Below are 12,955 nucleotides of genomic sequence, written 5' to 3'. Positions count from 1 at the left end.
GGCTGAGACAGGGGAATTGCTTGAACCTGGGAGGCGGAGGTTGCAGTGAGCCGAGATCGTGCCACTGCACTCCAGCCTGGGCAACAGAGCGAGACTCCATCTCAAAAACAAAAACAAAAACAAAAAACAAACAAACAAAAACTGTTAGAACTGACAACCAAATTCAGTAAAGTTGCAGGGAAAAAAATCAACTTATGAAAATCAGTAGCATTTTCATATTCTAACAATGTACTATCTGAAAAAGAAAACTATCCTTTTTATAGTAGCATCAAAAGAAAAAAAACCCAAAATACTTAGGAGTAAATTTAAATAAGGAGGTAAAAAAATCTGTGTAATAAAAACTGTAAAATGTTGATGAAAGAAATTGAAGATGACACAAATTACAGAAAAGATATGCCACGTTCATGGATTGGAAGGACTAATGTTAAAATGTCCCTGCTACCTGAAGCCACATACAGATTCAATTCAAACTCTAGTAAAACTCCAATGATATTTTTCATGGAAATAGAAAAAAAATCCTAATATTCATATGAAAATGCAAAAATCTTTGAACAGCCAAAACAATCTTGAGCAAAAATAACAAAGCCGAAGGCATCATACTACTGGATTTGAACATCTGTTACAAAGCTACAGTAATCTAAACAGCATGTACACTATAAAAATAGACACACAGACCAATGGAACACAATAGAGAGCCCAGAAATAAATTCATTCATTGATAGTCAATTGATTTTTGATAAAGATGCCAAGAACACTGAATGGGAAAAAGATAGTCTTTACAATGAATGGTGCTGGGAAAACTGGATGGATATCTACCTGCAGAATAATAAAAGTATACCCTCATCTCACACTATATACAAAAATCAACTCACAACGGATTAAAGACTTAAATGTAAGACCTTAAATGTAAGACCTGTACAACTACTAGAAGAAAACATAGGTGGGGGAAGCTCCATGACATTGGTCTGGGCGAAGATTTTCTTGGCTATGACCCCTTAAGTATAGGCAACAAAAGCTAAAATAGACAAATGAGATAATACCAAACTATAAAGCTTGTGCATATCAAAAGCAGCAATCAGTGAAGAGATAAGCTATGGAATGGGAGAAAATATTTGCAAGCCATATATCTGTTCTGGGGTTAATATCCAAATAGATAAGGGACTCAAACAACACAATAGCATGAAAGCAAATCACTTTATTTATTTTATTTTATTTTGTTTTTTGAGATAGAGTCTCAGACTGTTGCCCAGGCTGGAGTGCAGTGGCATGATCTCGGCTCACTGCAACCTCCACCTCCTGGATTCAAGCGATTTTCCTGTGTCAGCCTCCCGCGTAGCTGGGATTACAGGCACGTACCACCGGGTCCAGCTAATTTTTTGTATGTTTAGTAGAGGCGGGGTTTCACCCTGTTGGCCAGGCTGCTCTTGAATTCCCATCTCAGGTGACCCACCTGCCTTGGCCTCCCAAAGTGCTGGGATTACAGCCATGAGCCACTGTGCCCTGCCCAAATAACCTGACTTAGAAATGACCAAAGGCCCTAAATAGACATTTCTCAAAAGAAGAAGTACAAATGGCCAACAGGTATATGAAAAAAAAATGCTCAATACCACTAATCATCAGGGAAATGCAAAGTAAAACCACAATGAGCCATTATGGTAAACCAATAATACAGCCATTATGGAGGTTCCTCACAAAATTAAAAATAGAACTGCCACACAATCTAGCAATTCCGCTACTGGAAATATATCCAAAAGATATTAAATCAGTATGTTAAAGAGATATCTGCACTCCCCACATTCAATGCAGCATTATTCACAAGATTAGTGGCATCTATCTAAGTGTCCACCAGTGCATGAATAAAGAAAATGTGGTATATATCCACAATAAAATGCTATTCAGCCTTATAAATGAAAGAAATCCTGTCATTTCCAACAACATGGATGAACCTGGAGTGCATTATGTTACATGAAATAAACCAGGCATTGAAGGACAAATAAGCACATGAGCTCACTTATATGTGGAGTGTAAAAAAACTCAAATTCATAGAAACAGAGAGTAAATGGAGGTTACCAGAGACTGGGGGTTGGGAAAACTTGGCAGATATGGCCAAGAGATCCAACATTTTTGTTAGACATGAGGAATAAGTTCAAGAGCTCTATCATACATCATGGTCATGACAATTAACAGCAATATATCAATATCTGATAATTGTTAGTAGAGTAGATTTTAAGTGTTCTCACTACAAAAAAGTATGTCAGGTGATGCATGTGTTAAATAGCTTGATTTAGCCATTCTATAACATATACATATATCAAAACATGTTGTACAACATAAATATACATAATTTTTACTAGTCAGTTTATAAAAAAAAAAACTTAGTTATAATGAATTGTGTACTGGCCAGGTACGGTTCCTCACACCTATAATCCCAACACTTTGGGACTTTGGGAGGCTGAGGTGGGAGGATCACTTGAGCCCAGGAGTTCAAGACCAGCGTGGGCAACATCATGAAACCCCCATCTCTATAAAAAAATACAAAAATTAGGCCAGGCGTGGTGGCTCACACCTGTAATCCCAGCACTTTGGGAGGCCCAGGCGGGTGGATCACTTGAGGCCAGGAGTTCGAGACCAGCCTGGCCAACATGGTGAAACCCCGCCTCTACTAAAAATACCAAAAATTAGCCAGGCGTGGTGGCAGGCACCTGTAATCCCAGCTACTTGGGAGGCTGAGGCAGGAGAATTGCTTTAACCTGGGAGGCAGAGGTTGCAGTGAACAGAGATGGTGCCATTGCACTCCAGCCTGGGCGACAGAGCAAGACTCTGTCTCCGAAAAAAAAAAAAAAAAATTAGCCGGGTATGGTGGCACATGCCTATAGTCTCAGCTACTCAAAAGGCTGAGGTGGGAGGATCCCTTGAGCCCAGGCGGTGGAGGTTGCAGTGAGTCGAGATTGCGCCACTGCACTCCAGCCTGGGTGACAGAGCCAGACCCTGTCTCAAAAGAAAAAAAAAAAACGAAAACTAAATAAACAATGAAACATAATGTTCTCTCTTTTGAGAGAAATATTTCATTTTGAAAAGAATTATGCTACACCAACTTAAATTTTTTAAAAATTTGAGATCTCAGTAATTGAGCACACCAGAGCACAGAAAACATTTTGTACCTTTGCAAATAAAATTAAAGATTCAGAGAACCTACATAAAACATGGGAAAGAAGGGATGCTTTCCATAACAGGGTAGAAGGTAACTTTAAAATAGTAGACTCATAAGGAAAATTAAAGAAATCCTAATCAGCAAAATACATGAGATTGTTTTTTATGGTCCCCATGTGAAAACGTTTAAAGCTGTCAAGGTACGTCAGAAGTTTGCAGGAAATGAGCTCATAGGATGTCTCAAACAGTGTACATTCTTTTCCATCATTAATTTCCTTCCATGCTAGGGGCATTTCAGGATCTGCAATTTCTGAGGATGTAAAAATGAACTTATAGCAACATCTGTTGTATCTAATGTGCCTTTTCCCAGAAAACCTTGAGCTGTGGATGGGTATAAGGCCAATGAACTTAGCACAAATTCCTACAAACACATCAGCTGGCACCATCATGGGTACTTCTTTGAAAACCACATACATCATTCGAGCCACATCTTGGGACATTATAAAGGCCTCACCACTGCAGTAATCTGGGTAGTATTTTTCTGGGTACTCACTAAGAGGGACAAAGTCTCTGTTCTGAGGATCTCTATTGGGTGTAACCTGATGAAGAACTCTTCCTACATAGATATCTTCTAGGTGTTCTTTCAGATTGAGAAGATAGTCTACCAAGCTTGGTAGATTGACAAACGTCTCTTCATCCACCTTGAGAATGAACAGGGCATTAGGGCAGAAAGCCACAGCCCACTGTATCATTGCAATGATCTTCAGGGTTTGGTTCTCAGAACTGTCCAAGAAGATTCCTTCAATTATATCATTATTCTTACAGGATTCTTTGTTGATCTCTTTCTGGGTAGTTACCGAAACAGGCATTCCCAGAGCAAACAGTGTGAGAATGGGATGCCCTTGGACACTGGTCACATTGCCCCAAGTTTTCCTAATGAGGTCCCGTCTTGTTCCATTTCCTGGGCTACTGAAGATAAGAGACAGCAAAAAAATGTTCTTCCCTTTACATATTTCTGACTGGCTCAGGACATAATATTTGGAGAGATTACTTCTTAGGGGTTCGATGTTCAATTTTCTTGCCTTATTCTTAATTTCAAGAACTTTCACATCTATATAAGGCAAAGAATGCAGAAAGTATTCCTCCACAAAGTCAGTCCCAAAAAGCAAGGCATGAAATAGGATGACATTAAATAGAATGAAACACCACTGGTGAGTCCGAAGTCTGCAGAAAGTCACCTAAAAAAGGAAAGGACACGTGTTCATTCAGGCTTCACCTCTATTCCTGTTTTTGCCCTCATTGAACCCTATACGGACCTCTCACAGCATTTAGCAGTACACTCTATTTTAAGTGTTTATTGTGATATATTATCTATTTCTTCCACTAGATTATGGTCTCCTGGACAGCAGGCATCGTGTCTCTGTCTTCTCCAGTGCTGCTGATTCCAGTATTTGGCACAAAGTGAACACTGAGTAAAGTGTTAGTTGGTTGTTTTCTTGCTTGTTTGGATAAAAGCTTATTTACTATATACAAGGCACTTGTCTTGGACATTGGGATTACCAAGAAGAATTGGACACAGACACATGGATATAACTTAACAAGTGGTATCACTGTGATAAAAACCTGTAGGAAAATACATGATGTTCTTTCTTGAATGGGAACACCTGGATCCATTTCTTCTCTAATTACAAAAGTCAGGGGCTATTTTTCCATGAAGTGGCTGCTTTTGTTAGCCATGACACCCTGGCTACTATCAAATATTTACATTCTTCTAGTATGACTTTCCAATTTAATCTAATACTGAATCAGAGTTTCTTTTGACAATGGCTCCTAATCTATCTGACATTTCCATCAATATGGACAGATTACTGCTATCTGCATAGCACCTCTTCAGAGATGTAAGATAGACCTAGGCCAAGCTTACTCTACCTCATCAACACAGATGGAAACTTTCTGTCTGAAAGGGCATGTGCAGAATTGTAGTATAACAGAGCCAGGGAACATTAAATGAATTAAATCCCTTTTCATTGGATCTTCAATCAATAAAGCCTCCCATAATAACTGTTACCTCCTATTATGCACTTGCTTTTGTGCCAGGCATTGCGATAAGCACTTTTATGTGTCTTAATTCATTTAGCCCTGGTAATATCCCTTTCAGATATGTTATTTTCGTAATTAAGCTGAGCATCTGAGTAGCTTAATGGTTTAGTAATTTGCCCAGGATCACAGTGGGTAAGAGGTTGGGATAGGGCATGATTTGAACTCAAATCTGTCATATTCCAAAGCTCATTCTTTTTTTTTTTTTTTGAGACGGAGTCTCGCTCTGTCACCCAGGCTGGAGTGCAGTGGTGCGATCTTGGCTCACTGCAACCTCTGCCTCCTGGGTTCAAGGGATTCTCATGCCTCAGCCTCCTGAGTAGCTGGGATTTCAGGCGTCTGCCACCACGCCTGGCTAATTTTGGTATTTTTAGTAGAGATGGGGTTTTGCAATGTTGGCCAGGCTGGTTTCAAACTCCTGATCTCAGGTGATCCACCTGCCTCGGCCTTCCAAAGTGCTGGGATTACAGGTGAGAGCCACCGTGCCCAGCCCCAAAGCTCGCTCTTAACCATTGGAGAATCACAATTCCTATCTTTACTTATCTCTTTCTTTCTCTTTCTTTCTTTTCTTTCTTTCTCTTTCTTTCTCTCTTTCCCTCTGTCTCCCCCTCCCTCCCTCCCTCCCTTCTTCCTTGCTCTCTCTCTTTCTCTTTATTTTTGAGACAGAGTCTCACTCTGTGGCGCAGGCTGGACTGCAGTGGCATGATCTTGGCTCACTGCAACCTCCGCCTCCCAGGTTCAAGTGATTTTCCTGCCTCAGCCTCCCAAGTAGCTGGGATTACAGGCATGCACCACCACTCCCAGCTAATTTTTGTATTTGTAGTAGAGACGGAGTTTCACCATATTGGCTAGGCTGGTCTTGAACTCCTGACCTCAGGTGATCCGCTTGCCTCGGCCTCCCAAAGTGCTGAGATGACAGGCGTGAGCCACCGCACCTGGCCCCCATGTCCTTTAAACAGTCAAAAAACACAACAAAACAAAAAAAACCCAGCAATTATAATCTGAACTCCTTTCCATTTTCTCATTTACACATAGAAAAAAATTTCAGCTTCCTCAAAGCCTATTTTACTAGATATCAAATGCTTTAAAGATTGTAAGAAACTTACTTGCATGTTGCCTGTGAGCAACTTCAGGGTCTTAGAAATTATTGAGTCCAGGTGCCAATTATGCCCAAACGCATCTCAGGATCACTCTAGTCTAACAGCAATTGCAGTAAAGTACTTTGTGCCTCAACTTTTGAGGATAAGGTTTCTTGCCAATCAACCTGAGCTTTTATCCTAGAATACCTGCTGACTGCATAGGAGAGTGGGTGCTGATCATGTTACAGCTAGAGTGAATCCAGAACAAAGAACAGACAAAGCAAACCTCTTCAAATGCTTCCAACCCTGTGTACTTCATGAAACTGACCCCATGTCTTTATGCTGAGTTCCTGGTAAAGTGTGTGTGGAAGTTCAAAGAACAGTTACCCAGATCACTTCTCCATAGCATCATTGCACAAGTAGATATATCCTATACTTTTTTTTGGAGTGCATCTCAAGAAACCAAACAGCTGGAGTAATGCCTGCTCCCTGGTACATACACATGCAAAAACTGTACTAGACATAGAGGAAGATTTTTCATCCCTAGTGGGTGCATTATTTTCTCCCAAAGAAACATCATATGGTGAGGTCTGGTGTATGGCTCATTGGGAAGGATTCAGAATCCCTAGTATTGGCTATGCAAGCACTTTACTAAATCAATTTTAAGTCATCTAAACTACCTCCCCAGGCAAGTTTAGCTCAAAATGGAAGACAACATACAGTCCACTTTAGCCGGAATTGAAGAAACTAAACATTTGATGTTTTCTCCTTTCCTGGAGTATGCATGTGTAGGAATTATCCCAAACATCATTTCTACCAGCAAGTTTATTTCGAGAAAAGAAACAACATTCAGCATATTTTCATGTTCCTGTCACACAAGCAATTATACTGAGCATTCTTTTCTCATGCCAGGCTATATTTCGTCCTTTCCTTCAACATCCAACATGTTGATCTTCCTATCTGCCATTTACAACAGCTTTTGTAATTATTTGGCCAGGAATAACTTCTTATATTTAAAGTTGGCTATGTTTTCTCAGCAACCATCATACAATCTTGAAAATCTTTACAAAGTGGGAAAAATCTAACCTAAAAATATCAAATGAAAGGGAATTTTTACATATTCTGAATTTAACAATTCAATAGGTCTTGTATTTAATTAAATATTACGTCCACTTTGCAATTTAAAAATTTTTTTATAGTCATGAATTTTGCTCCTGGATCCCCTCTGGGCTTAAATTTGCACAATTTGGTTTCTTTGTTATGAGAGGTCCAAACAATATTATCTCTGGGGCAGCTCCATCTGGACTTTTCAATTTGATTCATCAAACTGTACTGGGGTTGAGAATGTTTGCTCCAAAGAGATATGGGTGCTTGATTTTCTTGATTACCCTGGTACTGCCTTCCCTTTCATAGAGAGTATCCAATCTGTATATCTGTCTTCCTAAATGTCTTATAATGCTGTGATCAGTCACGTTCTGACTTAGAAGTCTAGAGTGACATCCTGTTGCTTAGCAAATCAAATTTGCTCTCTTGAGACCTTACTTTTAGGACACCGTAGTTGACTTCCACCCCACATAATCAATTTTTATTTCCCATGTTTCAAGTACCCTAAATGAAGTCAGGATGCTTGGAACCTTGGCCATGCTCTACCATCTACTGGATATGTGTCTCTCTTATTGTCTATATTATTGGACTGTGCTATCAAGCATGGTAGCCATTAGCCTCATGTGGCTATTAAATTAAAATTAAATAAAATTAAGAATTTAGTTCATTTACATCAGGTACTTTTCAAATGTTCAGTAGCCACAAGAGACTAGTGACTGCCTTATTGGACAGCACCAACAGAACAACTCCATCACTGGCAAAAAGCTTATTGGACAGTGTTGGTATAAGATGTATGTGAATGTGCGTGTATGCATGTATGGCTTAGGAACCCTTACAGAGAAACAAGGATAACTTGTGCGCTGGGCATTGTGGTTCACCCCTGTAATCCCAGCACTTTTTGGGAGGCCCAGGCAGGTGGATCACTTGAGCCTAGGAGTTCAAGACCAGCCTGGGTAACATAGCGAAACCCTGACTCTACAAAAATACACACACACACACACACACACACACACACACACACACACAACTAGCTGGGCATGGTGACACGCGCCTGTGGTCCCTTCTACTCAGGAGGCTGAGGTGGGAGGATCGCTTGAGCCTGGAGAAGTCGAGGCTGCAGTGAGCCAAGATCGTGTCACTGTACTCCAGCCTGGGCGACAGAGTGATACGTTGCCTCAAAAAAAAAAAAAGGATAACTTGTGCTCTGAAGTCGGTTTGGGTTGAAATCCTATGACAGCCATTTACTATGACCTTAGGCAAGATGCCTAAACCTCTTTTGATTTCAGTTTCCCCATCTCTAAAAAGGGGCCTAATAATAGTTACTAGCTTGTGGGGTTGTTGTGGGAACTGAGTGAGATGGTACACAAAAAATGTTGAGAAAGAGTGCGTGGGATTTTTTAGCTCAGTTTTAGTTCTTGACGCCAAAAGGTTTGCATGCTTCATTTCCTTCAATCCTCAGAGCCTTCGGATGGGGACCTCACTATAATTGCTATGCAGATGAAGCAAAGTCTGAGAGGTTAAGTAACCGGGCCACAGCCAGAGTGTAAACGTTGTGATTCATTCAAATCTACATCACTTGACTGTCTCTTTTCATTCAACAACCTCCTTACCTTGCTTTATTTTTCTCCTTTGCACGAGCCTTAGTTTATCTGTCTTCCTCCTCCTAATAGATGTAAGGCCCAGGCGGTCAGGGGCTTTTGCGTTTTTTGTTCACTAACCCTATCCCCTAGAACAGCGTTCGGGATAAAGAGGTGCCCAACAGGTTGTATGAATTTGGACACGTCTCTTAACTTCTCTAAGCCACAGCTCCCTCTCCTCCGTAAAATGAGGATAATAAGAAAAACTACTGCAGAGCTGGTGCAAGATCAGATTGGAGGAGGGACATAAGCGCGCTGTGCAAACCTGGATGTACGGTACGAAAGGAACCTCCGTTCTAGGTTGCACCCAGCCTAAGCACCGTGAGGGCCGCGCGGCACGCGTTCAGCTTCCCGGGACGCTCTTCTCCCCACCCCTACTCCCGGCCTCCAGCCTCCCACCACCCACCTCCGGGCGGGGACCGGAAGTGCAGCCGCTTCCGCCGGGAGCCGCGGAGCTGAGGGACGCGCGGAGATGACGCAGGCAGCACCGGAAGCCGCTCCCCTGTGAGGCTGCGGACCGGGAGCAGCGGCCGCAGGTCCGGGTCTGTATGCGAGGCGGGGCCGGTCGGGGAGGGGACTCTTAGGCGCCCGCGGCTCTGCTGACCCGCCGCGCCTTGGCTGTTTTTCTTTCCCTGCAGGCGCCATGGCTGCGGAGCGGACCCGGCCGCTGCAAGGCTCTGGCGGTCCGAGCGTGCCTAGTAGCTGTGAACCCGGCGCGAGGTCCCGGGCCCCGGGGCGCTCGCTCAGGTCAGTGCCGCGCGGAACACGATTCCGAGAGCAAGGGACCTGGGAGCAACGAATGGGTTGATGGGATCTGGATTTTAGAGACGGGAAAACAGGGTTTTGGAGTTACTGCCTCCTACTGCCTCCATTTCCTTAGCTGCGAAATGAGTTAACAGTGATGTCCCAGGGCTACCAAACGTTTGAAAGACGATGAAGTGTGATGAGGTGGTTTATGAAGTACAAAGCGCTATACTGCGCCATAATTGTGGGTATGCCATGAAAACAGGTGTGTATGTGGGGTGCTGCTTGAAGTAAAGCAAAGATAACAATATTAATGCTAAGTAATAATGGTAACTGACATTTACTGTAGGCTTACAGCGTGCCGAGTACTGTGCTAAACGCTTTACTTGCACTGTCTTGTTTAACCCTCATAAAAACCCTTGTAGGTAATGCTCTTGGCTGTATTTTACAAGTGAGGAAACAGGGCATGAGACAGGTGAAGTGATTTGCCCAAGGTCACCCAGCAACAAGTGGAGTTGCAGAACACATATTTTATAAACATTATTTGTATTCTTTCAAAGCTTTAAAAAAATTCACCTTAAAACTAAAGGCTATTTTTTGATAGTATATTATACTTAACATGGTTTTCAGTTTTAAAAGGTATACAATAAAAAGGGACCCCTCATTCCTATTCTGCAGCTCTCCAGTTCTCTCTGGAGGCAACCAGGGTTATCAGTTTCTTGAATATTCAGAATACATTTTATGCATATGTAAGTTTATAGGTGTGTATACATTTTCAGCGCCTCTGTGCTCTTTGTTTGATAAGAAAAGGGGGAAATGAAGCCTCCTTCCCTCTACCACTAACAATTATGTTGCTTTCACTCTTGACTAGGCCAGGTTCTGATAGAGGAGGAGGGGAAAACACATTTACACTGTTTTCCAGAAGGTCCTGTCTCTAATACCTCTGAGTATAGGTTTTGGGAGAATGGGTACTGGGCAAAATATTGAGCCTGCTACTTCCTGTGCCATTCTGGGAAGGCCACTCCACTTCTTGAGCCGTAAATTTCCTCATTAATGTTAGTTAAGGGCGGCATTACTGATACCTTCCATGAGGTTATGAAGATGAAATGAGATAATGTTTACCAGTGGTACTTTTTCTTTAAAACCAATATAAATATGTGAGTTGCCTAGGTAACATAGGGAGTTAATGGCAGAACCTGAGACCAAACCCAGGCTCTCATTTTCCAATTTAGGAGTCTTTTTGTTGCATGACCCACTTTGTGATTATTGATACTGAAGGCAAGAGGGCAAGTTGAATGTTAACTCTGGGGTAGGGACGTAGGGTAAGGGGGCCAAACAGCAGGGAATGTGGGTAGAATAAGGCACCTACTGGGAAACTAGAGCCTCCAATAAACAGGTGCTCTTCTTTATAAAATTAAACCCCTAGTAAGTTTGAGCCCTTGAGTTTTTCTTCCAGGTATTTTGAAGAGAAACTTAGTGATAAGATGATAGGGTCAAAAGAGATGTTAGTGGTCATGTCCATTCCACCCTTAGTGTCACAGAAATCTTTACTGCCAGGTGTTCATAGTAGTAAAACTAACAAAAAGTACCATTTGAGTTTTTACCCGCTAGACTGTACACTGTGCTAAGCATGTCCCTGCTATATTTCTGAGTTTCACCCTTCAAGTTGGATGATGGCTTCCATTTTACAGATGATAAAACTGAAGCTTAAAAGTTAGTTGGACATGCCCATAATCACATAGGAAGTGGCTGAATCAGTAAAACATCTGGCCAACCTCCAAAGTATTTTCATTTATCACATTCTGCCTCTGTGTCCAACTGTCCTTGACTGTTCGTGGTAATGGGAAACTCACTACTCTGGAGGTAGCTATTCCATTGTTGGAAAGCGCTGAGATTTAAAAGCTCCTCATGTTGAATTGAAATCCCATTTCCTGAGGTTTGTGCAACCAGTGTATGATATTTCTAGAGGCTGCCTAAAAGAGTCCAGTTTAGACCTGTTACCTTAGAAGGCCCCCTCCAAAGTTAGTTGATCTGTTCAGAAAAGTAAAAATTGGTGTTTTTTAAATAGTGCATTCTGCAGTTAGTGAGACTTGCTTTTTTAGGGAAAAAAATGCCTTTTTCAGAATAATCAGAGGTGAACTGCTCAATCTTACAAGGGATTGAGTGGTTTAAAAGGCAATCTAAGAGTTGGGAAAATTTTTTTTATTAAGAGTTAGGAGAATATATAAATCTGAGACATGGCTGAATTTTTTTAGATGTGCTCTCTGAAAAAGCTTCTTCCGTAATCTTTAGCGGTGTCATGGGCACATTAATTTGGCATTTTTTTTTTAAATTTAAGTTCTAGGGTACATGTGCACAACGTGCAGGTTTGTTACATAGGTATACATGTGAATTTGGCATATTATAGTATGTCTCTTAGATATTTGTGAATGATGGGAACCTGATAATATTTTAATGAGTATTCTAAATTTGCCTTGTAGCCGTTTGAATAACAGTTCAGCTCACTTAAATACAAGCATTTCTACAATAGATGTGTGTCAGCATGTGTATGTATGTGTGTATATATGTATGTGTAGATGTGATGGAGGAAGCTTGCCACACCACACTTTTCACTGTTAAAAATGTTTCAGGAGCAGGTGTGTGGTTTTTTTTCTTTTTTTTCTTTTTTGAGATGGAGTCTTGCTCTCTCGCCCCGGCTGGAGTGCAGTGGCGTGATCTCGGCTCACTGCAAGCTCCGCCTCCTGGGTTCACGCCATTCTCCTGCCTCAGCCTCCCGACTAGCTGGGACTACAGGCACCCACCACCATGCCAGGGGAATTTTTTGTATTTTTAGTAGAGATGGGGTTTCACTGTGTTAGCCAGGATGATCTCGATCTCCTGACCTCGTGATCCGGCCGAGCCCACCTCAGTCTCACAAAGTGCTGTGATTACAGGCGTGAGCCACTGTGCCCAGCCTGGTGTGTGTTTTTAATTGACCAGTATTAATTAACTAGCTATTGTGACAATATGCAGATGCCCACAGAAGATAATTGCTTTGTCTTGTTGCAAATTATTATTTTTTAGAAGTAGAGATTTTGAAGAAATGTTGTATAGATAAGAGGGTTGTTAGGATTTAGAGGAAGGAGGGGGCTTGTTATTGCGTGA

General features: G+C 41.7%; 2 protein-coding genes across 16 annotated transcripts in view, besides 3 other annotated features; one reads left to right on the top strand and one right to left on the bottom strand.

Annotated features, from left to right (window-relative positions):
- Positions 1 to 1,175: 1,175 nt before the first annotated feature.
- Positions 1,176 to 9,496, bottom strand: B3GALT9 (beta-1,3-galactosyltransferase 9). 2 transcript variants are annotated; one of them, NM_001386823.1, is made up of 3 exons: positions 9,041 to 9,496; positions 6,354 to 6,540; positions 1,176 to 4,388 (listed from the first exon to the last, which is right to left on the bottom strand). In NM_001386823.1, exons 2-3 carry the CDS (start codon positions 6,357 to 6,359, stop codon positions 3,285 to 3,287), a joined length of 1,110 nt encoding a protein of 369 aa, NP_001373752.1. In that variant the 5' UTR covers positions 6,360 to 6,540; positions 9,041 to 9,496; the 3' UTR covers positions 1,176 to 3,284. The 2 variants fall into 2 exon arrangements, 1 of the variants encoding a protein (NP_001373752.1); NR_172066.1 differs by lacking the exon at positions 6,354 to 6,540.
- Positions 8,534 to 8,623: an enhancer, noted in NCBI's record as "active region_28895". NCBI's record gives its function as "activates an Ori minimal core promoter by ATAC-STARR-seq in GM12878 lymphoblastoid cells {active_cell/tissue: GM12878}" and the evidence as "EXISTENCE:reporter gene assay evidence [ECO:0000049][PMID:35858748]".
- Positions 9,054 to 9,153: an enhancer, noted in NCBI's record as "active region_28894". NCBI's record gives its function as "activates an Ori minimal core promoter by ATAC-STARR-seq in GM12878 lymphoblastoid cells {active_cell/tissue: GM12878}" and the evidence as "EXISTENCE:reporter gene assay evidence [ECO:0000049][PMID:35858748]".
- Positions 9,216 to 9,846: an enhancer, noted in NCBI's record as "H3K27ac hESC enhancer chr9:123555395-123556025 (GRCh37/hg19 assembly coordinates)". NCBI's record gives its function as "activates a minimal SCP1, AML or CMV promoter by ChIP-STARR-seq in primed H9 embryonic stem cells {active_cell/tissue: H9 hESC(primed)}" and the evidence as "EXISTENCE:reporter gene assay evidence [ECO:0000049][PMID:30033119]".
- FBXW2 (F-box and WD repeat domain containing 2) overlaps positions 9,547 to 12,955 on the top strand; it is a 36,443-nt gene continuing 33,034 nt past the window's right edge. For 4 of the 14 annotated variants that reach the window (XM_047423218.1, NM_001375889.1, XM_017014615.3 and 1 more), the window contains exons 1-2: positions 9,547 to 9,603; positions 9,706 to 9,814. Coding sequence is in view for 5 of the 14 variants with exons in the window: in XM_006717049.4 (XP_006717112.1) it covers positions 10,001 to 10,076 (76 nt within the window). In the remaining 9 variants the exon portion in view is untranslated. Of the gene's footprint in view, positions 10,077 to 12,955 lie in introns of all 14 variants that reach the window. The other 10 variants (XM_047423217.1, XM_047423214.1, XM_024447509.2 and 7 more) reach the window with 5 other exon arrangements.

This window comes from Homo sapiens, chromosome 9 (assembly GCF_000001405.40).
Source record: "Homo sapiens chromosome 9, GRCh38.p14 Primary Assembly".
Taxonomy (NCBI): domain Eukaryota; kingdom Metazoa; phylum Chordata; class Mammalia; order Primates; family Hominidae; genus Homo; species Homo sapiens.
The sequence above is the reverse complement of the archived record's forward strand: the minus strand, read 5'-3'. Positions and strand labels throughout refer to the sequence as shown.